This window comes from Homo sapiens, chromosome 17 (genome assembly GCF_000001405.40).
Source record: "Homo sapiens chromosome 17, GRCh38.p14 Primary Assembly".
Lineage (NCBI taxonomy): Eukaryota > Metazoa > Chordata > Mammalia > Primates > Hominidae > Homo > Homo sapiens.
In genome coordinates, this window is record NC_000017.11 from 66,629,256 (window position 1) to 66,656,054 (window position 26,799).

The 26,799-nt window shown below is 43.4% G+C and overlaps 1 protein-coding gene and 2 pseudogenes across 11 annotated transcripts in view, besides 2 other annotated features; all 3 read left to right on the forward strand.

Annotated features, from left to right (window-relative positions):
* The window catches only part of PRKCA (protein kinase C alpha), a 508,131-nt gene that overhangs the window by 326,643 nt on the left and 154,689 nt on the right, over positions 1 to 26,799 (forward strand). For all 11 annotated transcript variants that reach the window (XR_007065315.1, XR_007065317.1, XR_007065316.1 and 8 more), the window contains 2 exons: positions 12,100 to 12,211; positions 16,128 to 16,256. Coding sequence is in view for 7 of the 11 variants with exons in the window: in NM_002737.3 (NP_002728.2) it covers positions 12,100 to 12,211; positions 16,128 to 16,256 (241 nt within the window). In the remaining 4 variants the exon portion in view is untranslated. The remainder of the gene's footprint in view (positions 1 to 12,099; positions 12,212 to 16,127; positions 16,257 to 26,799) is intronic.
* On the forward strand, positions 9,016 to 9,119 carry RNU6-928P (RNA, U6 small nuclear 928, pseudogene; annotated as a pseudogene).
* On the forward strand, positions 10,014 to 10,128 carry RNA5SP445 (RNA, 5S ribosomal pseudogene 445; annotated as a pseudogene).
* Positions 15,592 to 16,791: an enhancer, noted in NCBI's record as "P300/CBP strongly-dependent group 1 enhancer chr17:64640965-64642164 (GRCh37/hg19 assembly coordinates)". NCBI's record gives its function as "activates an origin of replication core promoter dependent on BRD2, BRD4, P300/CBP, MED14 and CDK7 cofactors, with strong dependence on P300/CBP, by STARR-seq in HCT116 cells {active_cell/tissue: HCT116}" and the evidence as "EXISTENCE:reporter gene assay evidence [ECO:0000049][PMID:35650434]".
* Positions 25,136 to 25,430: a silencer, noted in NCBI's record as "tiled region #6976; K562 Repressive non-DNase unmatched - State 23:Low". NCBI's record gives its function as "represses a minimal TATA promoter and a strong SV40 promoter by Sharpr-MPRA in K562 cells {active_cell/tissue: K562}" and the evidence as "EXISTENCE:reporter gene assay evidence [ECO:0000049][PMID:27701403]".

A 26,799-nucleotide genomic window follows, 5' to 3' on the forward strand; every position in this document is an offset into this window, starting at 1 on the left:
ACATTATAGTGAGGCATAAAAATCAGCCCTCTTGCAAATAATGTTATACTATTTGAACTTCATGACAAAAATGAGTGCAGAATCCCAGTCATGTTAGCTCCCTACTACCAAAGAGTGGACTTCAAAATTTGACCCACATCATCACAGAATAGCAGACAGGGTACCTCACACAATGACCTGATCCTGTTTTTACTAAATTAAAATGATGGGATCTTGCAGACTCTGAATAAATGTGTTTTTGTTTATCTCTGATTTGTTCTCAGTCGTACAGACTTGGCCATGAATTCTTATAGGAGACTTACCACTTTGTACAGGGCTGGCAGAGGTTTGCATAATTTAGATGCTTCTTGTATTCCTATTTTACGTTCCTTTCCAACTATGGTATTGGAACTAACCAAGTCTGTAATTAGCATAAACATTATTTGGTGCTAAAAAAATGGTATCACATTTTAATAGAGGATAGATCAGTGGTTGTCAGGAGTTAGGGGAGGGGAGGGCATGACTATAAAGAGGGTGGCATGGGGGAGCTTCTTTGTGGAGATTGGGAAGTTCCGTATCATGAATATGAATGTGATAAAATTTCACGGAACTACACACACATACCCTCCTATACAATAAGCACATGTGAAATCCTTATACAGTCTGTTCATAGCATTGGGCCAGTGTCCATTTCTGGGTTTTGATCATGTGCTATGGTTATGTATAATGCTGTTATTTGAGTAAGCTGGTGAAAGGTCCATGGGAACTCTCTGTGCTATTTTTACAGCTTGTGAGTCTAAAATTATTTCAAAATAAATGTTTTAAATAACATTTTTTTAAAACGTGAGCTATTCCTCAAAAGATTACTATTCTCAGAGTTACCATAAAGCTAGTTAAAGTAGTCAGTACCCCCAATTGAATGGGCAAAGAAATACAATATTTGAATGACTTTTTCCTTAGAGGAATCAGTATGACAATAGGAAAAAGAAAAATAATGATTTATCCTTGAAACAAAAACTGGAACAAAAACATGATTTAAGTATATGTGTAAGTATGTACTTAAATACTAAGTAGATAGGCTAGAGAAAGACATACAGGAATATCTGTGGAATATTGTATTATTGCCCCCCACTAATTGTTCCCTTACCTCTCTGATGATCATAGGTCCTACCCATTGCTATGTGACTTGTAGCCCCTCCCTGGATGCAGAGCATCCCCAACCTAGGGTCAGTCTTGGCCAAAGGGAGTGAAGTTTAGCTGCTTCAAGAAGCATTGACAGACTGTCGTTCAGTTTCACCTCTTGCTTTTCCTTTCCTCTGCCATGAGAATGGCATGTCCCAAATAGCAGCTGTTCCTTCATCTCTAGGTCCTGGAATAAGTAGACAGGTGCTCCTTCTCTGAAGCTCCTGATATATAACATGAGTGAGAAATAAACCTAGGCCAATGAGATTTTGAGGTTGTTTGGTACTGCTTTGTTGCTGAGCTAAAATTACATCTACAAGGTGGACGGTTTCATTGGGCATCACCAACTTGAAACTACTTTCAGTTGAACTCAAACCTACAAGCTTTCAAAGTTTGAAGTCCTAACCCATCCTGTGGCTCTTTACCAAATAATATAAAATGGCAGTAGATACTAAGCTTTCTGAGGGCCATTGTAGATTGTGTTATTATTTAAAATATTTGCTGTCCCCTTCTGGGGAGGTTATTACACCCGGCCCTGTTGACTTCCAGATTGGCCATGTGCCTTGCTTTGGCCAGTGACATGCAAACAGAAATGATGACACCATTTCCAAGCAGGAGATATATGAGCCGTTGAGTACTCTGCCATTTCTTTTTTTCCTCTGCTGTGAGATTGCATATGTCCTAGATAGTGACTGCTAAAGTCCCTAAGTGAAAAGTGAGATAAATTTTTGTTGTGGAAAGCCACTGAAAGTTAGAAGTGATTTGTTAGCAGTATAATCTAGTCTCTTCATTCCAAGTTAGATAGGACCTGAGCCTCACCTGGAGTCTTCACATGGTGGGCACACCACCTGGCACATAGTAGGTGTACGGTAAATAATTTTTTTTAGGCAAAATGAAGAAATTGATAGGTACCTAGGAAATAACCTTATTTATAAATGAGTTATGTTTAGGGTTTGTGATTTGAATACTTACACATTTTAAACATCTTATTTTTATTACTGTTACTTTAGAGACAGGGTCTCACTATGTTGCCCAGGCTGAAGTGCAGTGGCTATTCACAGGCATGATCATGGCGCATTACAGCCTCGAACACCTGGGCTTAAGCAATCCTCCTGCCTCAGCCTCCCAAATAGCTGGGACCACAAGCATGCGCCACTGCACCTAGCTTATCTTTTTTTAATATCAGAATTCCATATTAAACCATCAGAGGTTTTTGAAATTTAAAAGTTGTGCAGGGTGACTATAATCAATAATAACTACACATTTTAAAATAACTTAAGGAGCATAATTGGATTGTAACTCAATGGATAAATGTCTGAGGGGATGGATACTCCATTCTCCATGATGTGCTTATTTCACATTGCATGCCTGTATCAAAACATGACATGTACCCCGTAAATATATACACCTATGTACTCACAAAAGTTAAAAATAAATTTGTTTAAAGTTGATTGATGATGGAGCAAAAACTGGACATAAAACAATGTCTTGAGATGTTAATGAATAAGATATATTATGAAATAGGAAGATGGTCTTAATAATAGCTTTTCATTAAGAGTTGTATTGGTGGCTTGTGGTGTTAAATATCTTCATAGTGCCTTCATATAGACACCTTCTTCTGCAGATTGGTAGAGAAACTGCCAACAAAGCCCCTGTGTAGTGAGATGAGGTGGTTGCGCCCCAGTTCCTCCAGCATGCTAGGCTTTTCCCCCAATGGTGTCTCATGAAGCAGCCGGAATATAGCCAGTGTATTCAGCTGGACTTCGTGGTAATTTGGGTTACATAGATAATGTATGGATTTATTTTTTAACTTAAATCTTTTCAGATAATGTTAAAAGTCTCATTTTACTTTCATGTCTGAACCTAATCTGTCCCCACACTTTCCCAGAGTCATTTACTTATTTATCAATCTAGAAAAAAACTGTCTTACTGTTCAGAGGAGGGGGCTTTTTGTTTTTTGTTTGTTTGTTTTTTGTTTTTTGAGACGGGGTCTTGCTCTGTTACCCAGGCTGGAGTGCAGTGGCATGGTCAGGGCTTACTGCAAACTTGACCTCCTGGGCTCAAGCAGTCCTCCCACCTCAGCCTCCTGAGTAGCTGGGACTAAAGGCATAGGCCACCACCCCCAGCTAATTTTTTTTTTTTAAGTAGAGATGAGGTCTCGTTATGTTGCCCCAGCTAGTCTTGAACTCCTGAGCTCAAACGATCCTCCCAAAGTGCTTGTTTCTGTTTTTTACATAAAAGTCATTATATTTTATGTCTTGTGTTGTGGCTTGCTGTTTTCATTAGACAATATATCTTAGAGATCTGTCCATGATTTTACAGAAAGATCTAGCTCATTTGATTTAACTGCCATGGAGTATTCCATAGTATAAATATATTACAGTTTATTTAGCCATTGCCTTGCTGATACAGATCTATCTAGAATTTTTAAAATAATTTATTGCTTCCCATTGAATGATTACAGCATCTTGCATAGCTGGGCAAAGGACTCATAAGAAACCTACTAGCAAAACCTGGTTTGACAGGTTCATCCAACTGTATAGATGAGTGTTATTCACCAGAATAAACTGAAGTGTTACATTGCAGATCAGAAATTAATGAGCATCACCAAAAACGGAATTTCTTTCGTTCTTTCTTAGAAAAGGAAACATCCAACAAGATCAGTATGGTCAGAGGCCAAGTGCGATCCTAAGCCCAAATGGAGAGTGGGCCAGGCAGACCCAGCCGCCTGAGAAGGGGCATGGCAGCTTTACTGAGTACATGATACACAATGTAATAATTACAGTGGTCCCCAAGTTACATGCAACCACCCTGATCATATGACTTGGTTTTGGTAATCCTCTCATGTTAACCAAAAAAATTTTAAATAGGTCTTTTTTTATATCATAGGGTTAAAAAAAAAACTGCTTCCTACTTCCCTAAATTTCTTAAGAAATTTAAGATCGCAGTAATGTTGCTAGATTTGCCCTTGAAGCAGTGTTTTGGGTGTTTCTCATATAGTCAGCATGTGGGTGACATTTAGACCCAAGCTTGGCTTACAAGCATGATTCATGAGAACACATCAGATGGTGACAGCAGAGAATTTCCCTTGGTACTTAGAGGGGAGCAGCTTCAAGGAGGCATACTGCTCTGACTGCTGGAGGAAGTTGCACCGCAGAGCTTCTGTTGGTTAAAAACAGTCTTTTCCAGAAACCCTGAACCCCCAGCCCTCAATGACAGATAGTTTGGTCCTTCAAGAGAAACCTATGGGGCATTTTGGAGGCATTCAAATATGGGTGGAAAATTCAAGCCAGGATGACCTCTAACCAAAACCCTGCCATTATTTTACTCATTGCATTAAAAGCACATGTGCAGTGATGTCAGTTCAAATATGAACATCCCCATCAAAAAACATCATTGGTTGCCTGCCTCCTGGTGTGAAGGGAGCGTTAACTCCTCTAGAGATTTCACACTGCACATAGCTAGATTAGTCTCCAGCCTCAACTACTGCCTTTGCAGACTTACCTAGAATATGACTTCCAGGTGGCTGTAGACACAAGAATGCATCTAGGAAATGTGATGCCCGGTCAGCATCCGAATTCTGCACAGTGTAGATCCATGTGTTTATTTTAACATATTGCAAATGATAGCGGTAATGATGATGGTGATAAAGAGAAACTTTGGAAAATCTTGGTAGAAATGTTGAGAAATGTTTCCAAGGAAGACTAATTAAGTTGCTACATTATAAAACTAAGAAATGAGAAACAGGCCAGCGGATGCTTTCAATAGAATTTGAATTTTTCACTTGTCATTTTTTTCCTAAGAGGTTTAGATTTAGATTTGTAGGTTAGACTTTATTCATGCCTATGAAAAGTGATTAGCTCAAAGCCTTCATTTTTTTCTCCCAACCACATATATGACAGAAGTGTCTGAGCTGTATTTTTCCCTCTTTCGTTATAATATAATGTCAGGCTTGTGACATATGACAGCAGGTTTCACACTCCACTTAATGACAGGCTGCCAGTTCCTGGAGAACTAAAAAGGAAGACTAATATGTATTTGACTAAAAAGGAAAATGTTATTAACTTGGTAATAGTGAAGACTTGGTGTGCACCAGATATTTCTTTGTGGCCCTAAGTCTAGCCAGACTTGCTGTAACTTATCTGTGGGATGACTTTATCTACAGCCCTTTGGTGCACAGTGATAAAAGTGTGCTTTGTTAAGGATTTAGTAGTTGCTTTCATACACATTTAATGAAGGTCTACCATGTAGGAGATAAAATGATTTCAGAGGATACAAAGACAGACTTCTGCATTCAGGTAGTTTTGCAGTTCAAGAGGAACCTATTAATGTCACTTTCCTCTTTTTACCTTGGTTTCCAGGAAGCTCAGAGATAAAGTTAATACTTAATCCTCAGTTCGGCAGCATCCTTTAGGACCTCTCTTTCCTCCCTGTTAGACTGTCATGTCAGTCCTCTGTGTGTGGGAGGTGAGAGATAAATGATGAAAAATTAAAGGGGAGGTAGACAGAATCATAATTATCATAAGTGGCAGAATATGTTAAGTGGCATGCAAAAGACAGAAATAAAATGCTCTGGAAGGTCAGATGAAGGAGAGAAATTGTAACTGGTATTGACATCTGGAGAGACTTCCTGGAGGAGGAAGGAGACTTTGATAATGACTTTTCAGGTGTTTCAGCAGGTGGAGTCCTGGCAGGTGGAGGCAGCAGCCGAAATGAAGACACAGATGAGAGACACCAAGGTGCCTGCCATCTGGGACTCACCGAAGAGAAAGATCAGATGTCCAGGTTTATAGATGTAGGAAAGGATCCTGAGGCTGCTCTGATCATTTCCATGATGAATTTGATGAATTTGATGAATTTGGTAGCTATCAGGAGACCTACTCTTGGGCCAGTGGGGGCAGCTTGTGCCCTGGTATTGTGGTGTTCACCTTATCTGTCCATCCAGGTCACAGGCATCACCTGGAAGCCGCAAGCCTTACCCACCTTTCAATCCCTCATGGCCCAGGCTGGCGCCACATTTTGCCTGAGCTCTCATTCTGCCTGTGCCTTGAGATGATTTTGTTTTGAAAAACGGGTCAGAAAGGTTTGGAAACAGCAGTGTGTTTCCTTTACTTAGAGAAAAGCGTCCTAATTCTGCTTTTCAGATAAATCTTTAGACTCATCCTCCCACGACTCCTTAACATGAGATCAGCGGGTTATATATTTAATGAAGAAGTAAAAGATGTTCCTTTGGTGCTGTTCTACTTGAGTTAATGTATTTCACCAGCCAATACTACTGTATTCCCTATTCAGTAAACAGTATATTTAATACATATGTAGTACAGTAAATGCTCTTGCATTGGAATTATGCATGTAAAATCTGATGAAACCCTAAACTCTGTAGTTTAGTTAATGGTATTGTAGCATTGTCCTGGGTCTGCAAATGTGCCGTGGTTATGTAAGATGTTATCACTGGGGAAGCTGGATGAAGGGTATGAAGGAACAGTCTGTACTATTTTTGCAAATTCTTGTGAGTCTTAAATTATTTCAAATTAAATAGCTTTAAAAAAAAAAGAATTAAAGAGATGATCTAGTCCGGTTGTTTTCAACTTTAATTTTAGCAGTGGTCTCCCTCTTCTGCCTTCTCCTGCCTCCATCCTCAGCATCCTTAGGCACCACCTGACGTTTTAAAAATGCTGATCCCACCCAATACATTTAGGCTCCAGATGAGGAAATCAGGGCCCACAGAAGTAAAATGCATCACTATTTAGAGGCTATTGATAGAAACACAGTGAGCCTGGGGAGTTTTTAGGACGAGTTGCTCTCTGCAGATCTTCATGACTCACAGCTCTGTCGCTAACACTGTGGTTTCTTTTGTCAGACTAGGTGAGATTAATTAGACTGGAAAAGAGTTTCCATGCTCCTGCATCCCATTGCTGCAGTGCAAGAAATGGCATCATCCATATAATTGAGACAGTGCAAGAGGTGGTTTGGGTTAGCAGACAGTTTAACAAAACACCACTCAGGGCATTTGCCAAGAGGACTGGCTTGAAAGTCCAGGCATGGGGTGCAGAAGTCGGGAATGCGGGACCTAGGAGGAAGTCCCTTGACTTCTGCCAGCTTGGCCTTCACTCTGACCACCTATGAAGCCTGAGGGTGATTAGCCCAGAGGATAGGGAGTCCTGTTTCCTCCCCATCCAGGCCCAAGTCACTAAAGTATTTTGGGGAAACCCTGGGCACCTTGAAGTTTGCTCCTAAGGATAATGTAATAATAATTGCTTATATTTGTCTAAGGATTTTCAGGTTGCAAAGTCTTTCTCTTATATTCCCTAAGCTGGGTGTCACCCCTTGCCCATGACACGGGCAGATTGGTTTTATTTCTGCTTTATAAATAAATGACGTGACTTTTCCAAGGTAAGAGCTTGTGCCGGGACTGGGGTCAGAACACAGGTCTCCACAGTCCTGCTAAGTGCTCTTCTCATAGGAGACTCTCTTGTTCTAAACAAAGATCCTGGTTATTGTGAAGCACCTGTGCACAATTGCTGATCAACAAACAGCTGGTGCTATTATTATTACTGTCGTTGTAATTCATAGGCAGGATCTTTGGCCACATGTAATTTTGGGGTGTGACAACTCCAAGACTTGCTGGTTCTCCAGACTTAGGCAGGAGGTGGAAGCGATGGTTTCCTCTCTTCCTACACCTCCAAACGGTGAGAACCTGAAGGTGCCATATGGCTGTTGCGTGAGTAAGCCTTAGGTTTTCCTGAAAAGTGAGTTGCCTGTGTGCCACATCAATGGAGATCTATGTGACAACCAACTGGTATGACAACCACCCTGGGGCTGCCTGGCATGCACATACTCCTGAGGGCTCCGTGCGAGCTGCCATTCTTTATTAATTTAGTGCCATTTGTTGATGCCTCGTTTCTGCAGGGAAAACTGGTTCCTTCATTTCCCCTGGCATATTCTGCGCCCTCCGCACTGTAGGACGCAACCTTTCCTGTCAACACAGGTATTTTTAATTGGTGCTGGCACCAACCTACTCCCTGAACATTCTTCCTGATGTCCTGGGATCCTGGCAAAAGTGGTGGGCTTCCCTAATGGTGGAAGTCTAAGGCCATACTTCAGACCGTGGACCCAACTACTGCTTTCTAGAAGAAATAACCTGTCAAGGAAGATGTTGATGTCTCACACCCTGAGAGAAACATTTAGGAGGTAAACCACTGACCTGCCTCGAGGATATCATTAATCATCTACACATAGAGGTGCTAGGTACTCACCTCGCACCAGTGACACACTTACTAAATATTTGTTGAATGACCTCCTAGAGCAGTGGTTTTCCAGTCTTTAGTGTGTCCGCCAACACAAGGATCACTGGCAGGATCTGCTCAAACACAGACTGTGAGGCCCCACCCCCAGAGTTTCTGACTCGGTTGGTCTGGGAAAGGACTAAGTACTATGCCTTTCTAACAAGTTCCAAGTGATGTGATGCTGTGCGGGAACCATGCTCTGAAAACCCTTGTCCTAAAGCAGGGCTTGGCAAACTTTTCCTAAAAGGACCCAAATAGTAAATATTTTAGATTTTGTGGCCCACACAGTCTCTGTCATAATTACTCAACTCTGCCATTATAGCCAAAGAAAATATGTAAATAAAGGAGCATGTCTGTTTTCCAATAAAATTTTATTTACAAAAATAGGTGGTGGACTTGTTTCTAAAATATATATATATATATGTGTGTGTGTGTGTGTGTATATATATATATATATGTTGCAAATATAAAAATGCGTTGTAAATATATTGAGAGCCAGATCCTCATTCTGGGTAGATCTCCAAAAGCTCTTGTGATGGGAATCCAACGTTGGTCACATCGTAGGTCTGTGCTCTCTGAAGCAGCACAAATACAAAACTTGGAGTGAAACAGAGATGAGCGTTGTTCCTGTGCAAGGATCACGTGCAAATATGTGAACTGTTTCATATAAAAAAAAATCTGAGGTCTGATGTTCATCAACCATGTGATTTGGGGAAGGTCATTAACATCTCTGTAAAACGAGGATAATTAGGCAGTAAAAACTAGGGGAAAATGCTCATTTTTATAAGTTCTGGGTGGTGCAGACACGAGGGGTTTACTATTCTTTATACTTCTCTGTATGATTGAACTATTTCAGAATTCTCAAATCTGTGTCTTTAAAAAGTAGTCATAGGCCAAATGCTTTGGGAGGCCAAGGCAGGTGGATCACGAGGTCAGGAGATCAAGACCATCCTGGCTAACAAAGTGAAACCCCGTCTCCACTAAAAATACCAAAAATTAGCCAGGCGTGGTAGTGGGTGCCTGTAGTCCCAGCTACTCGGGGGGCTGAGGCAGGAGAATGGCATGAACCTGGGAGGCAGAGCTTGCAGTGAGCAGAGATCGTGCCACTGCACTCTAGCCTGGGCAACAGAGCAAGACTGTCTAAAAAAAAAAAAGTCATAACAAGCCTTTGGCATATATGTGGCTTAGGGTTTAGGTTCCATAGTCAACCAAAAGATGAATTATCTTACAGTCAGAATCACCTTTGGAATTCCCCGAAATCACCAGCACCAAGGCCCTCAGAAAGTCAGCAGCCAAGAATATTCTGCTTTATGTCACTTTGCATTGGAGAAACCCTGAGAGAAAGGTTAATTCAAGCTTATTATGTCTACAGTAGATCTCTGGATCTCCTGCCCTTCCCCAAACCCTGATCTTCTAAAGTCTTGCTTAATTCAGTGGATGGCCACTCTGCCTTTGCAGCTGCTCAGGCCACAAGGAGTGATTCAAGAGGAAGAACTTAATAGGAATGAGTCCTGATAGGTACATGTTGAATATGAAATTGTTTTATAGTTCCAATAGAACAGTAGAGTCTATGGCCATACCACCCTGAACATGCCTGATGGAAAGCTAAGCAGGGTCGGGTCCGGTTAGTACTTGGATGGGAGACAAATAGATCATCTAAGTAGAAGCTCAGAGCTCTACTATTATTTATTTATTTATTTTTTGAGATGGAGGCTCGCTCTGTCGCCCAGGCTGGCGTGCAGTGGCATAATCTCAGCTCACTGCAACCTCCACCTCCTGGACTCAAGCGATTCTCCTGCCTCAGCCTCTCAAGTAGCTGGGATTACAGGCACACGCCACCATGCCTGGGTAATTTTTGTATTTTTAATAGAGACAGGGTATCACCATGTTGGCCAGGCTGGTCTCAAACTCCTGATCTCAGGTGATCTGACTGCCTCAGCCTCCCAAAGTGCTGAGATTACAGGTGTGTGCCACTGTGCCTGGCCTACCTTTATATATTAATAAACAGAGGAGGCTGGGCGCGGTGGCGCATGCCTGTAATCCCAGCACTTTGGGAGGCCGAAGCAAGTAGATCACCTGATGTCAGGAGTTTGAGACCAGCCTGAATAACATGGTGAAACCCCATCTCTACTAAAAATTAAAAAAAATTAGGTGTGGTGGCAGGCACTTGTAATCCCAGCTACTTGGGAGGCTGAGACAGGAGAATCGCTTGAACCTGGGAGGCAGAGGTTGCAGTGAGCCGAGCTCGTGCCACTGCACTCCAGCTTGGGTGACAGAGTGAGACTCTGTCTCAAAAAATAATAATAATAAAATTGAATAAATAAATAAGCAGAGGCCCCAGAAGCAGAGGCGCTTATCTGCACTACCTGCGTGGTACCTACCTACCCTGTGATACGGCACTCTTCTAAGCATTTTACAAAGACTGACTCGTTTTGTCCTTATTTATAGTAACCACAGAAGACAGATGCTGTTAATTTCCCAGCTTATAGATGAGGCAGAAAGGATAAGTAATTCGTCCAAGGCCATGCCTCTGGGTAGTAGCAGAGCTGGAACCTGAACCCAGGCAGTGACTCCAGAATCTACGCTCTTTAACCACGATGGTCTTCTGTATATCATTTTTCTTCCCTATCCATAATCTGTGAGTTGAGGGACAAAAGCTTAAAAATCTAAAGAAAAAAGATGTCTGGTTGCACCTTTGGTGCTCTATGTGGTATGCTAGAGAAGGTAATGAAATTGCAGTGGGCTATGGGGAGGCGTAATTTCAGTGCCTTTACGATTTTCATCTGACCATGCTGAGTTTCCCTATAAAAAGCATAAAATACTTTGGAGATGGTGCAGAAGCAGGAAAATGTACCTGTCAGTTTGGATGTAGATCTGGTTTCGCAGTGTATTGTATTTCTGGATACTCTGTCCAAGAGGAGATCTCCTGAATGATCCATTTAGGGTTGTTCCGTTCACTTCACAAACACACCGATTTTGTGTCTACTCGTGCCCCAGCCTGCGCTAGGCAGTGGGGAGACAGAGAAGCCAAGTTGTTTAAAACACTGTGCTTGTCCCCAAGGGCTTTGGTGACCATAGCTCCAGAAGTAATAGCTTTGGTGGAAACCGTGGTATGTGCAAATTTCACCCCATAAATAGAGGAAACATAGGTATTCATTATATTAAAACATGATGCGGGCCAGGTGTGGTGGTTCACGCCTGTAATCCCAGCACTTTGGGAGGCCAAGGCTGGTGCATCACCTGAGGTCAGGAGTTCGAGACCAGCCTGGCCAACATGGTGAAACCCCATCTCTACTAAAAATACAAAAATACCCACATCGTGGTGGATGCCTGTAATCCCAGTTACTCAGGAGGCTGAGGCAGGACAATCGTTTGAACCCAGGAGGCGGAGGTTGCAGTGAGCTGAGATCGCGCCACTGCACTCCAGCCTGGGCGACGAGCAAGACTCTGTCTCAAAAAACAACAGTAAATATCTAAAATATTTAGTGGCGAAGTCACCACCACCCATTGTGTGACTCCAGAGAATGATGCACAGTCTGGTGTTATCGAACCTTGACTTGGGGCTGGGGAGTGGTGGGGCCTGAGCTTGGCTTAATCTAAAAACGTGGTCCTTTCATGACTAAAATGAGCATTGTGCTTCTTCTCCTCCCAGGACCCCAGGAGCAAGCACAAGTTCAAAATCCACACTTACGGAAGCCCCACCTTCTGCGATCACTGTGGGTCACTGCTCTATGGACTTATCCATCAAGGGATGAAATGTGACAGTAAGTAAGTTTTCTTTTCCAGTTCATAGCGAGGCTCTGTAGCTCATGCTCAGGGTTTGCTGAGCAAGGAAGGCTCAGTAACTTTTCAACACCAACTCTTCAGTAGAGGGAATTAGTTCAGATATCTACCAGACTGACAAAGTGTAGATTCTTCCACTGTCAAAGTTCCAGGTTATTGAACTACTTGATTGCCTCATTATGAACCCCCAAAAAGCACTCGATTTATAAATGAGGTTGGTGGGTGCTGTCACTTTTTTTTTTTTTTTAGTGGCAGAAGTCTTCAATCACTGTAAAATATAGCCTAGTCAAACCCCAAAGAAGACTTCCACCGCCAGGTCCACATTTGGTTATAGCTTCAAAATAAGCCAAGAAACCCTACTCATTATCTTCCTGTGTCTCTAATTAGTGGGTGGACTGTGGAAAAATCCAGTAGGCTCTTCTTAAAACTGAAACCAAAATGAACATAAAAACCAGAATAGCATCTTATTGAAGTTCACTGACCCAGCATGTTTATGGACGGATCAAATGTGTATTAGCCTGGCTCAAAACGCTGAGGACCACTGACAAGCAAGACACCAGCCCTTTTCTGTTATTTTTTGTTACGTGTGTATCTCCATCAACTACCAGGAGGAAAGAAAAGCAACTATGAAGACTCTTTGCTTTGATCATTTTTTTTTTTTGGAGACGGAGTCTCACTCTGTCACCCAGGCTAGAGTGCAGTGGCGCGATGTCGGCTCACTGCAAGCTCCACCTCCCGAGTTCACACCATTCTCTTGCCTCAGCCTCCCGAGTAGCTGGGACTACAGGCCCCCACCACCACACCCAGCTAATTTTTTGTATTTTTAGTAGAGATGGGGTTTCACTGTGTTAGCCAGGATAGTCTCGATCTCCTGACCTCGTGATCCGCCCGCCTCGGCCTCCCAAAATGCTGGGATTATAGGGGTGAGTCACCGCGCCCAACCTGCTTTGATCGTTCTTAAAGTATGAGATTCCTCAGGCTATGTTTGTTTAAATACAAGCTGATACCTTTAGGACATGAAAAGTTAATTGCCGAGCCTGTTTTTCTAATAGATCGGGAACCACTGTGGAAATATCAGCCTATTGCCATTTGCTAATGACTATTTTCATTTGCTATGATGGCCAGAAGCTGATATTTGTATCTTACATGGAGCAAACTGTAGAAAAAGAAACATAAACGAGCATCATAGAGTAGATGGAGTTTCTCAGGACACAGGGATTCTTCACCTTACAGAGTTGTACGGCATCACAACCAAATGCAATGTTTGTTTACTTCAAGAAACGCTGGGATTTCCACCATTTAATCCCAGCACTTTGGGAGGCCGAGGCGGGAGGATCACCTGAGGTTAGGAGTTCAAGACCAGCCTGACCAACATAGCGAAACCCCGTCTCTACTAAAAATGCAAAATTAGTCTGGTGGTGGTGGTCTCCTGTAATCCCAGCTACTCAGGAGGCTGAGGCAGGAGAATTGCTTGAACCCAGGAGGCGGCGGTTGCTGTGAGCCAAGATTGTGCCATTGCACTCCAGCCTGGGCAAACAAGAGTGAAACTCGGTCTCAAAAAACTAGAAAAATAAAAAAAAGAAACCCTAGGATTCCAAAGACATGGTTTTCAGGGGTTCTGCAAGGGCTTACAACTTAAGTGCATATGTAAATATATTTTAACTACTTTAAAACTGGGAACAAAATAAATATTTGAATGTGTTACATACTCAACCTTCACTCCTTGGGCAGAACTTGCAATCAGGTTTCTCCTACAGCATCCTCTTCACTGAAGAGTCAGCTGGGATGGGGAAGCATGCCGTTAGACACGGTTCCTGTTTGTACTCAGTTTTCTGCATGAATGAGGATTTTTGGATGCTGTACTACTTTAACATAATGCAAAAATAAATGAGATGTGGAGGCTGGTCTGAGACATCAACTGGTTTCAAAGTTGTGTTTGTATCAGAGGGCTTTATTGGTGATCCTTGAATGTCTTTATAATAAATAAGTGGTATAAATTTGTGTTTGTTAGCTGAGTTTATGCTAATAAAATAACACTCATATGGTTTACATCATTAGATTCTGCTTTAGACTTTGTTTGCAAAATGGTTTCCTTACTAAAAATTTTTGAAAACCGCTGACCTGGACCAATGCTTTTTTGTTTGGTTTTGTTTTAAACTCTTTTTCTTGGGAATCATAAGGCTTCTGTGGCTGCCGCCTGTGCTCCTTTCTGGAGACAGGAGGAGAGCAAGCCGATGAGCACCAGGACTGCAACCCCTACTGACCTTAACTTCTGCAGAGAAGAAGCCTCTTCCTGTGCCCTTCCACCTGGTGCAATTGCAATCCTAGATAGAGTTCCACTTGGGATGGGGCAGGACGTCAGGGGGCAGTTAGCAACAACAACTTGAGTGGGCCAACCTCTCACTTTGTAGAGTTGGAAATGAAATTAGAGCAAATCAGCTTCCCAAGATATACAGCAGAGACTGCAACACGGCCCAGTGCACTTTCACCTCCCGTCCCCTCCCCGTTGCCTCTGTGCTTTCCAGAGGCTCTGGCATTTACTGCCTTCACATTGCAAATTTTGCCCGGACACTTAAAGACATGATGTGGTTAACACAAGCAATATACATAACACAGCTTTTCAAGAGCCTTTATATTGGCTAAATTCGAGGTGTAGAATTTTGAACAGTTAGCCTTGGAAATAGAAGCCTAATAGCATCCACATTTGTGAATTAGCTAATTGTTCTTTCCTCAGTATGTCCATCATTCTGCTGTCAGTGTTTAATCGGAGCAGTATACATTATTCATGATGCTTTTTCCAATTTACTTTGTCATGTTAAAATTAAACACTCAAAATGAAACGGAAAGGAAGACTCCACCTTGATGATTACAGAATAACCTTATTAGCATCCTGGCAAGGATTTGCAAGGATTCCAGTGGCCTTCCCTCCTTCTGGAAGCCTAAAGGTACAAGGGTGATCGAGCTGGAACACCCACACACAGTCTTCTGTTTGTTTCCGGCACACAGGATTCTTTTCAGGGTTTCTTTGGTTCATTGCAATAATACTGATCTTTTTTTATCCTCCCCCTGTCTCACCCACATAATGTCAGCTGTAAGGAATGGCTGATCATGCTAGGCGGGTATTTGTTTTACTTGGAATGGTATTTAAATATTTGAAGATAGGTTTAAAATATCAAATACAGGTTCTTTGGGGAGAAAAACACAGGCAATGTACTTAAACCTTGTTGAAAATACAAGGTTAGCTGAGGAAAGGAAAATTTAATGAATTTTCTATACTCAATCCACAGATTTTCACTCTTTCTCAGTGGTAAGCCCAGAATGACATAAAGAATTCATTAGCAAAAAGTCTTATGTTCAAGCTGGGTGCAGTGGTTCACATCCATAGTCCCAGTACTTTAGGAGGCCTAGGTGGGAGGACCACTTGAGCCCAGGAGTTCAAGGCTGCAGTGAGCTAGGATTATGCCACTGCACTCTAGCCTGAGAGACAAAAGGAGACCCTGTCTGAAGAAAAAAAAAAAAATCCTCTGTTTAACATTTTCATATTATTTTGCCTCTGTGTACATAAAATATGAATTAGGCTGAGCTTTGTACATATTTACCTGTGTGAATTTTGTATACTGTTAAATACTTGAAACAATCACAGAAGCCCAAGCTGGGATATTTTGCTTCAGTGAAGACTGAGCAAATATGGTATGAGTATTTTAAGGATATTGTCACTCACATGAAGCCTGTGCTGTACAGGACATCTGCTAACAGTTCTTTATGTCACCAAAAACATTATAGCAAAGTATCGAGTTGGGGGTAACTCATTTTCACTTGTGCTCATGCACCAAAACACTGAGGAGCGGTGGTTGGAGTCCATATGCCCAGCTCACCCTCTCCTTTCTTGATTCACAGCCTGCGATATGAACGTTCACAAGCAATGCGTCATCAATGTCCCCAGCCTCTGCGGAATGGATCACACTGAGAAGAGGGGGCGGATTTACCTAAAGGCTGAGGTTGCTGATGAAAAGCTCCATGTCACAGGTAAGGCTTGCTCATCCCGGAGCAGCATCGTGGGCAGGCATTTGGATGAAGGTTACACTGATATTAAGGCAGGGTGGGGGCTGGGCTGGATGCCCTGAGGCCTCTGGAGAGGCAGTCGCCCTGGTGGAGCCATCACTGTCTCAGAGCCCTCCAGCCCTCTGAGCCCTCGGGTTAATACACCTCCCAGGAGATGGGTCTGTACACCCAAATTCCCAAATACTCAATGTCACACAAAGTCACAAGCACTGTGTGGATTGGGCTATTCTGACAGCATGGCCCGTGTACTCTCCTCCCGGTGACAGGGGGTCAGGGGAGCCAATTAATCAAAATGCTGTTGGAGGGAATGGAACTAGAACAAGGGGAGGCGAATGGATGGATGACCCAGGTGTTTTGTGGCATTGGCCTGTGATGGCCCAATAAATCCACCTCAGCGATAGCAACAGCCGTTGAGTGCTTTTGCTTCCTCTGTGTTAGGTATGGTGCTAGGAACTTCACATAGATTAGTTATTTAGACCTGACACCTAGCTGGTTATTAGCCTCGTTTTCCAGAAAAGGAAACTGAGGCACAGAGAGATCAATAACTTGCAGTGTTACAGTTAGTGAGGAGCTGGGATAGGAATGGAGGCATTTGACTCCAGATACTGTGCTTATAATTACCACACCTCCTACAAACAGCCTGGCTATGGGACCGGAATTCCCTATCCAGGGGCCTGGTTACTCCCTCCTCGGGGCTGTTTCTGGGTGGGCTCTGCCACAACATGGCTTTTTCCTGTGGTTTTCCCACCAAATCCACTTTCGGTTCATCGGCACACTCAGTCAAGTTATCCTGGAGTCTTATTGGCCTAGGACCCATCCCGTGTCCTCAAGATGGCTTGAGTTCTCGGTACCATGACCCACTCCATGTTGGTGTATGGTTCAGCTCTCAGGCATCAGCCTATTTCCTTGCACTTGGGGTCCCTGAGGGACCAACTGTATACATTACCCTTGTTGACAAGGGCATTCATTTTCATTTGATCAGCAAAGGTATCTTCCTTCTGTATCTAGGAATTTGAAGCTATCATAAACATGGAAAGACTGATGCTAATCTATTAGGTTTAGATAACAGAAAACATCATAGAAGAAGGGTTTAGGAGGATCTGTTTTAAGAAAAAAAGGGGAAGGTGGGGACTTCCAAAGAAAAGCTTACCTTTGGAAACATCCTCAGGTTTTTCCTTTGAAAGATAAGCAAATGTTCTAACCAGGGCTGTCCCCTCAGGTAAGAACTCAGAGAAGAACAAAGGATTCCAAGGTATCACTGGGAGAGGGTAACAGTTTGCCTCTGGATAACCTTGAAACCAGCTATAGCTGATGGTCAAAATGGAACTGGGAATGAAATCCCTATCATAGATACAGAATCCCTTCTGACTTTTTGTAGTTTTTAGAGAAATTCTTTTATTTTCTCAAGACCATCCCTATTGTGCCATTGCCTTTGGGGCTGTGATTGTCACCTGCATTTCTTTTTAATGGGCTGATGCTGTCCTTGGAATCCCTGCCCTTATCTGACAGCCAGGGCCCCTCTGACTGGGCACTGATGCTCTCTGCCCAGAGGAAGATGGTGTTCCTCGGGGGCCATGAGACCCCTCTGCAACATCACAGCTTTGCTCTTGTTTCTCTTTCCTACTAAGGCTTCCACATTGTCAAAACCATGTATGGGGGGAGCAGATTTTGCAGCCGAGGGGAAAATTACCATAAAACCTAGTCTCCGTAGGTGGTAAGGGATCAAGGAGCATAAAGTAGAATGCCTATGGCTAAACATGTCCATGCTTTTCTTACCTTTTCCTTTATTTCCAAAGCTACTGCTGTTGGCAGTAGAATAGACATCACAGGTGAATATTCAGTTTAATTATGGGTTTACATGTGGCTACCTTATGGCTCGCTGTAAGGCAAGAATGCCTGAAATGTTTAGCTGGCATTCTTTGTGTTTCTAGATAAAGCAAAACATGTGCTATGCATGCTGGACACGCCCCGTGCCGTCTTCTGTAATAAAAGCAGCAACCATATGGTACTGCCGGAACCTTCCAGTATCTCCTATAAACCTCAAGAGCCTTGCAGATCTAAAACTGCATAGAGAGCACAGATGCTCTGGCTGGGGTGGCACAGGTACACAGGTGGAAGACAAAGGTCAGGCCTTATCGTGCTAGAGCTTACATCAGGCTAATTCCTCTACCATTGCCAAAAGTTGAACTTGACTCACAATTGTAGAGTCAGCTTAAGGAACAAGACCTTTCACTGGGTTGGATGTCGACTTTTTGCATGTGAAAGCCAGCCAGTATTGCTTATGCCAACTCTCTGGGCTAAGTCCCTTGAGAATTAGTTTAAAAATTTTTGTAGAGCTATAGCTCCACTCTAGGAATGTGAATTCAGCAAGTTTAATTAATAATAATAATAATAATGTCTTATTCCATTCAGGCTGCTATCACAAAATACCTTAGACTGGGTTATTTATAAATAATGGGAATTGATGTATCACAATTCTGGAAGCTGGGAAGTACAAGATCGAGGCCCCAGCAGATTCAGTGTCTGGTGAAGGCTCCGTCTCTGCTTCATAGATGGCACTTCTCACTGTGTCCTCACATGGCAGAAGGAGGGCAGGCTGTGTCCTCACATGGTGCAAGGAGCGAACTTGCTCCCTGTCATCTCTTTTATAAGGCTCTGCGTTTGGTTGAAGGTTATCCCGAAAGGATTACTTCCCAAAGGCCCTACCTCTTAATACTATCACACCGGGAATCCAATCTGAAGATATGAATTCAGACCACAGCAAATAGTAGCAGCAGCTCACAGCTATTCAGTGCTTCCTCCACAGGACCGCTTTCTAAGTACTTTATGTACTAACTTTTATTCAAATCTGTGAAGAAGTTGACTTTATTATCCTTACGTTATAGATGAAGAAACGGAGATACAAGGAAATGAAGTGACTCACCCAGAGTCACACAGATGGTAAATTGGATGGCTAAATATTTAAATGGCACATGCGGAGAGAAGATATTTTGATGACAGTTTCCATAAGAATTGGAATCTATTTTTAAAGTACAGTTATGTGTGTGAAGGGAATCCAATGTTAAGTATGGAAAGTCAGGCTCAAGGAAATAACTAATTAGTAATTACATCTTTAACATTTTTAATTTAAAGTAATTTAAGATTTTCAGAAAAGTTGCACACACAGTACAGAGTTCTCGTACACCCTTCACCCAGCAACCCCCGATGTTAATGCCCTTGTATAACTATAGTACCTGATAAATTTATGAAAAATAAGTGCTTACAGCCAGGTGCAGTGTCTCACACCTGTAATCCCAGCACTTTGGGAGGCCGAGGCGGGTGGATCGCTTGAGGTCAGGAGCTTGAGACCAGCCTGGCCAACATGGTAAAACCCCATCTCTACTAAAAATACAAAAAATTAGCCAAGTATGGTGGCATGCGCATGTAGTCCCAGGTACTCAGGAGGAGGCTGAGGCAGGATAATCGGTTGAACCCAGGAGGTGGAGGTTGCAATGAGCCCGAGATTGTGCCACTGCGTTCCAGCCTGGGCGACAGAGCGAGAGTCCATCTCAAAAAAAAAAAAAAAGAAAGAAAGAAAAAATAGGTACCCGCATTAGTTACTAGGAATTTTTTTAAAGAGCCAAATAGAAGACATCAGACTCATCTTATTTCAGTATAAAAGGACCACAAGTGGTACTAAGCAGAGCCCCCTTGGGGCAGTGCTTGCCAATGATGGGTGGCACCCCCATGCCCATTATCTGCCTGCACCTTCTCCCAACCAAATAGTTCAGGCATGGGTTTGTCTTGAGAAATGTTTTCATACCAATAGCTACCATTTATTGAGTGCTTGCTCTATATTTATTGTTCATAGGACTGGACCTTTATGCTCAGCATTTTATATTCATTGCTTCATTGACTCCCCAACCAATCCCATGAAGTAAATACTATTATTATCCTCCTTCTTGAAATGAGCAAAGGAGCTGAGAGAAAGGAAGGAAATGGCTCCAAGTTACAAGGTGGAAAGTGATGTAGTTGGGGCCGCAGCCCGGGCCTGGCTTCCACACTCTTGCTTTCAGTGCATAGGCTATGAATGTTCCAAGTCTCTCTTATTAATTAGAGTCTCCTTTGGAACAAACAATTAACCCATAAATATTTGCTGAACCCACAATCAGCACCCCACAAAGTTTTTTGAGGTCACGGAAGGTCCAAACATGGGACTTAAAACCAGGGGAGAAAAGAGTAACACAAGAAGAGAACAAAGAACAACCCATATCCAAGTAAAATTAAATACCAAGTACATGGTGATGAAATAGCACACCCTTGGGAGGTACTGAGGGTGGGGAAGGGGACAGAGAGGGAAGGACCCTGTGGAGAAGCAGCCGACTGAATACTGTAGGTATTTGAGAGACAGAGAGGGAAGAGAGCTCCGATTGAGAGAGTCAGAGGGCTGTGGGAATTAGCCTGGTGGTGGCTTTCATGAGAACACAAATATAAACCATAAGCCATCACATGCAGAGTTTATGGTCCAGATGCGAGTGATTTCTCAGAAAATGCACTTAAACCTGAACCCTGAGCAGCTGTGTTAATTGCTAGGTTAGTTCAAACTGTGTCTTACCTATGTAGAATCACTCAGGTTGAAGATAATTCCCAAAGTAACGTAGAAACTCCCGACAGGAGCTCTGCTTCAGGATGGAAACCTCCGTTTGCAGTCAGAGATGAGTTTTCTTTCTAGCTTGGTGGGGTATTTATGGGAAAGCCCCGAGCTTTGGTGGTGTATTTTTATTTTTTGCCTTTGGGCGGTGGTGCTGATATTATCAGAATGGTGTCGGGGTTTTTTTTTCTTCTTCTGATAGGAGATTGTAATAGGTTTTCTACACTCTAGTGTGTTTTGTAAATTCGGTTTATAGGAGTAGTAAAAAAAAAATCCCTCATGGGAACCAATTTTCAATTTAATCTTGTAAGTAAATGGAAAAAATATCGGGTGCTTTAGAGCTGTTTCAGGAGCACGTCTCTCCCACAGATAGATTATTCTGAAGAAGAGTCTAATTTTCTCAACAACTTGAGTTTGTTAATTTGGTGTGGAGATTGAAGTTTTAAACTGAACTCTGGTCGGGGAGGGGAAGACTTCCTCCCAGCTCTTACGGCCCAGAGACTCCTCCTGCCTACCTAGGGCCCTGCGCGATTTGATGTCTGTCACCCCTGCAGATATGGAGACTCACCCTCATCTTATTGTAATTAAAACAATAATATTCCCTCTGTGTGTTCTTCCACCTTACCATGGTGTATTTGTTACAGAATGAAGGAAATGAGCCTCAGCTTTGTATGATAATCGTTCATTTTTTTTGCTTCACCCATTGATCATACATTATTGAGCGTGTGTCCTGCTCTCTTCCTGGCACCAGGGATGCTAAGATGATTAAGACCTAGACCGTGTCACAGACTGTGTGGTCTTTGGGGGAGAATTCAGGCATGAAAAAGAATTGGCGGGTGCTGTACCTGCAGTGGGAGTTTGGGAGAAGGGGAGCCTCAGTGGCCCTGGGGAGGCAGCAGGTGACAGCTTCACATCGGAAGTGCAGTGGAGCCGGGAGGACAGGGAAGGAAGAAGAGGGCATTCCAGGCAAAGATGCAGAGTGTGTTCAGGAAGCTCAGCACCATCCAGGATGTCAGGAAGTTCAAGTGAGAGTTGGAGAGAGCTGGAGGGAAGTTTGTTTCTTTCCATTTTCAAAGTATGAGAGCTGCAATCATCAGTTTACCAGTTGCACAATCCTTAGGAGCCATGCGCACAGGCTCTGAGTTAAATATTTCTTTTTAAAACAGGAAGATTTTAAGTTCCAGGTAGCTACGTTTTCAACAAGAACAGAGCATCAGTCTCCTAGCCTGAACTCTACACATCACCCTGAGATTCACAGTGAGCAGAGACCTTCTCTATCATTGCTGGGTAAGGAGACGCAGCAGGTAGCCCAACCTTTGCCTAAAAGCTTTGCACAGGTACCTTTTGCAGTGACAGGCAGGCTGTGGAATATAATAACTTGTTGGAGGCTGCCAGCAAGGAGATGCACCAAGCTCCTTATTTAAAGGAAAAGGCATTAGTTGGAAGTCATTTCTGTTCAATAAATCTTGGTTATGGGATTTGGATCCAGATCAGGAACGTAGATGGTGATGCAGCAGATGTATCTGCTCCTTTGGTTTGGGATGGAGAGGGAGAGGGTGCTGGCAAGAAGCTGCTTATCCTCAGGGGCACCCAGAGTGTCCACTGTTGGTGATCCTGCATTTGACCACCTGGTTCAGCGTTCTCAGCAGATCCCTCCAACTGCAAAGGTATTTTTGTTGTTGTTGTTGTTTGTAATTAATAAGGAATCTGGATGTCATACTTGATGAACAGCAACCTCCCACCTAATGGTTTTAACCTTGATTATTTTATTTTTTATTTATTTGTTTATTTATTTTTTTGAGACACAGTCTCACTCTGTCACCCAGCCTGGAGTGCAATGGTGCAATCTTGGCTCATTGCAACCTCCGCCTCCTGGATTCAAGCGATTCTCCTGCCTCAGCCTCTCGAGTAGTTGGGATTATAGGTGTGTGCCACCATGCCCGGCTAATTTTTGTTTTTTTGGTAGAGACAAGGTTCCACCATGTTAGCTAGGCTGATCTCGAACTCCTGACTTGAGGTGATCCACCTGCCTTGACCTCCCAAAGTGTTGGGATTACAGGCGTGAGCCACCGTGCCTGGCCAACCATTCTTGATTAAAAGAGAATGAGGAGACATGATTACCAAATGCAATCTGTAACACTTGGTTGGATCCTGGATCCAAGAAAAAAACAGCTGTAAAGAACATTTTGGGGACAGTGGGGACAGTTGAATCTGGACTGTATTTTAGAGAATGTTTTTGTACCAGTGTGACATTTCTGGGTGGTAATGGTCATGTGATTTTGGAGGGGAATGCTGAAATATTTTAGGGGTCATTTTTTCCTAATGTCTACAACCTACTTCCAAATGGTTCAACAAAAGCAAAAAAACAGACAGAAATCTGAAAATAGGACCAGGCGGGGGTTGGGGCCAAGAAGAGAGCGTGTGTGCAGGCAAGAGCACCTGTGGCGGAATAATAGTGACTCTAGAAAGTGATATAGGTGTTCACTGTACTGTTCTTTCAACTTCACTCCCAAAAACTTGGGCAATGATATCTATGTCTGAAGCTTTGTTTCAGTTGATCGTATTTAAATGTACTCTGTAGAGGTCATTCTTGGCTAGAAGGAAGCCCCTGCTGAAGCAGCCATCAGAGCGCCTCAGCAGTTAAGCTTCCCTGCCTCCACCCTCTTACTCTATGACCCTCCCCTGCCTCTGTCCATGGCCACCAACGCCTTTCCTTTTGTGGATGGCAGACCAAAGGAGACAATTATTCTGCCTCAACCCAACGCTGTGTTTCCTTGTGGTTCTGCACTGAGGCTGGGCCCAGAAGCCTGGTTCATGAAGAGCACTCACCTGGCCCCTGGCCCCTGGCCCCCGTTAAACAGGTGAGTCACTGACCATTTCCTTAGAGCCACCTGGGACTGGCTGCATGGGACTTGCCATGACACAGCCGGCCAGACTGCCACAGGCAGGTTCTGGGAACTGTACACTTACATGGATGGGCAGGGGCTGCCTGGGATTGGGAGCCACTAGTGGTCTATGTCCCCAAGAGCTTGTATATGACCCCCATTTTCCAAATAGCTCAGGCAGAAAAGAAAATGTGAGTTAAACAGCTAAAGGAGTCATATGTAGGTATGTGTACATATGTGTAAGAAGTAGGCTGGACATGGTGACTCATTCCTGTAGTCCCAGCTACTCAGGAAGCTGAGGCAGGAGGATCTCTTGAGCCCAGGAGTTTGAGACAAGTCTGGGCAACAGGGCAAGACCTCGTCTACACAAAAAGAAAAAATAACCAGATGTGGTGGTGTGCACTTGTAGTCCCAGCTACTCAGGAGGCTGAGGCAGAAGGATCGCTTGAACCCAGGAGTTCGAGGTAACAGGGATCTATGATGGCGCCACTGCATGCCAGCCTAGGTGACAGAGCAAAACCCCATCTCCAAAAAAATAGTAGTTGTGGGCACAGTATTGGCAAAGCTGTTGCTTATTGTATAAATAAACATCAAGGAGTTGGGGAATGGCTGAGTGGGCCGTTTGCATTCTGCATCTCCCCTCCCCTTGGATACCACTCTCCTCGATCTGGGGGTTCCATGCCTACTTTAAAGACACCAGCTTCTATTTCCTGCAAGTTTCCAGCTCTTAAAAAAAAAAAAAAAAAACAAAACCAACAAGCTTTATGATGCTCACATATGAGAAACTACTTCCTTTAGTTTGTCTTTAAATACTGGTAGAGAAAAGTCCATAATAAGAGGGGTAACTGCTCTTCATGACAAAGCACACTTTATCTCCATGGCTTTGTAGAAGTTTCATGAATCCACTAACATCAGCTAATTCTGAAAGTGATAGGCATTGTTGCATTAATTTTCCCTGGGGAGAGGCACAGCAAGACTGGGTCCTCTCTTTTGTAGATGGAGAAGTAAGAATGAGTGGGGCGTTCAGTGTTCTTGCAGAGAGGATTGGTGGGTCCGTTTAGCTAGGAAGTGGTCGCACCATCTAGCCAGGGGACCCTTATTATCCAATGATCTCTATGTGCCTGGCATCTTGCAAATGGAAATGCTAACAAGATCCAGCCAGTCACAGCAGTAGCAGCTGCCTAGAAAGGGGACATGAAGGGCAAACCAGAGAAGCTCCGGGTGTTTCTTGAATGCTTAGATCCTGTGAGAAGAGAAACCGACACTGATTGAACACTTTTCGTGTACCAGGCCCCAACTGGATGCTTTCCTATGTATTTCATCCCAACCACCTTTTGGGAAAAATGCTATCATCATCACCAGCAGCAGCAGCAGCATCATTACCCTTTTGTAAGTGAGGAAACTGAGGCTTGTAGAGCTCCCGCAGCCTGCCCAGCTGCCTCTAGCACACACGCATGCCCTTCCCACTATTGTAAGCAGCTGACCGTTGGCTCTGGCTGAGGGAAGATCCTGTGATTACTCACAGCTGTTTCCCTTGAGTACAGACACAGCCTACACTGTTGCTTCAAGTGCTTGCAATTTCACATTTCTATCCTGCAATTAATTGTGGAGGCTACTCTGGGATGGCTCCGCAGCTCCTGTGATTACTGTTCTGTTGGCACCACTGGGGGTGAGGGTCTGTCCTCACTTCCGCAGACCCTGCATTTTCCAGGGTTTCCATAATGGCTGGAAATAAAAATGGCAGCAGGGAATCTGGGTGAAGTCTTCTGTGCTGGAAAATGAAGAATTAAAATGGGCAGAAGGATGGAAACAAGCCGCTACAGGACGTGTTTTGACAGCATGTGAGTTGCGTGGGCATGTGACTGGACCAGCCCTTTCTTGGCATCCGTCTGGCTTTTTCTTAGTGGCCCCAGTTCTTCCCCATTGGAGACTCATCCTGCTCTCACGTTCTCACAGTCTTCAAAGAAACCAAATCTAGCAGTCACCTGCCTTGAGTTCACTGGTGCTTAACATCCAGGCACATCCTTGGCACAAGAAAACAGGAAAGTGCGTCTTAGCTAAAACATACAGCGGTGTGCTTGTACCAGAAGAAAGCCTGCACATTATCCCATTCAAATGCGTATGCTTTTGGGTCATGACTGGCATGTGTTCAGTGGATTTATCTACTCTATCTTCTTCCTTGATTGGGCATTCCTAAACATCAGTGTCTTATGTCCACATGACCCCTTCTGTAGGCAGTACTTTGCCCATCTCCCCATATTTACCCCTTATGTCCCCTACACGTTTGCACTCAGATTTCCAAGCCATGAGCAGCTTCCCCACTGTGGCAGGCAACAGCCCACCAGTGTTTCTTCCCTCCTCACTTTTGCTTGTGCCATTTTCCCTGCTCCCCAGAGAACGTCTTTTTAACATTCAGCTGCAGTTACCTTTAGGAAGCCTCTCCTCACATTTTATGCCATGCCTGAAACCAACCACTTTCTCTCCATGCCCTTTATAACATGTATTATGAGATTTCACCTGTGTGTTTATTTACATGTTGATCTCCTTCCACTATGTCATAAGTCCTTTGAGGTCAGAGATAGTGTCTTATCTCCTGTACCCAGCCCAGTGCCTCAAATTTGTACCAAATGTGTGTCTGTTGAGCCGATGATGATGATGATGGAAGTACACAATACAGCATAGAAACTGACTCAGGCTTTTACTGCACTCCTCACCCCAAATCCAGGTGACTCTCCCCATTTTAGCCCTACATCTGGATCAAGTTAAAATGATCCTGTTTTAACCCAATTCATAAAGCCACATGGCTCTGGGATCCTTTAGAGAAACATCTATCAGCTAAGAAAAAGGTTGCATCTTCTCAGAGACACATGATTATTTACATTCCGACTGTGGTACCTCGTCCTGACTGATCTGTGGCTCATCTTAATGTCAGATATGTACAGACTTGCAGCATGCCATCCCACAGATTGTTATTCATGCTTGGTTCTCTGTG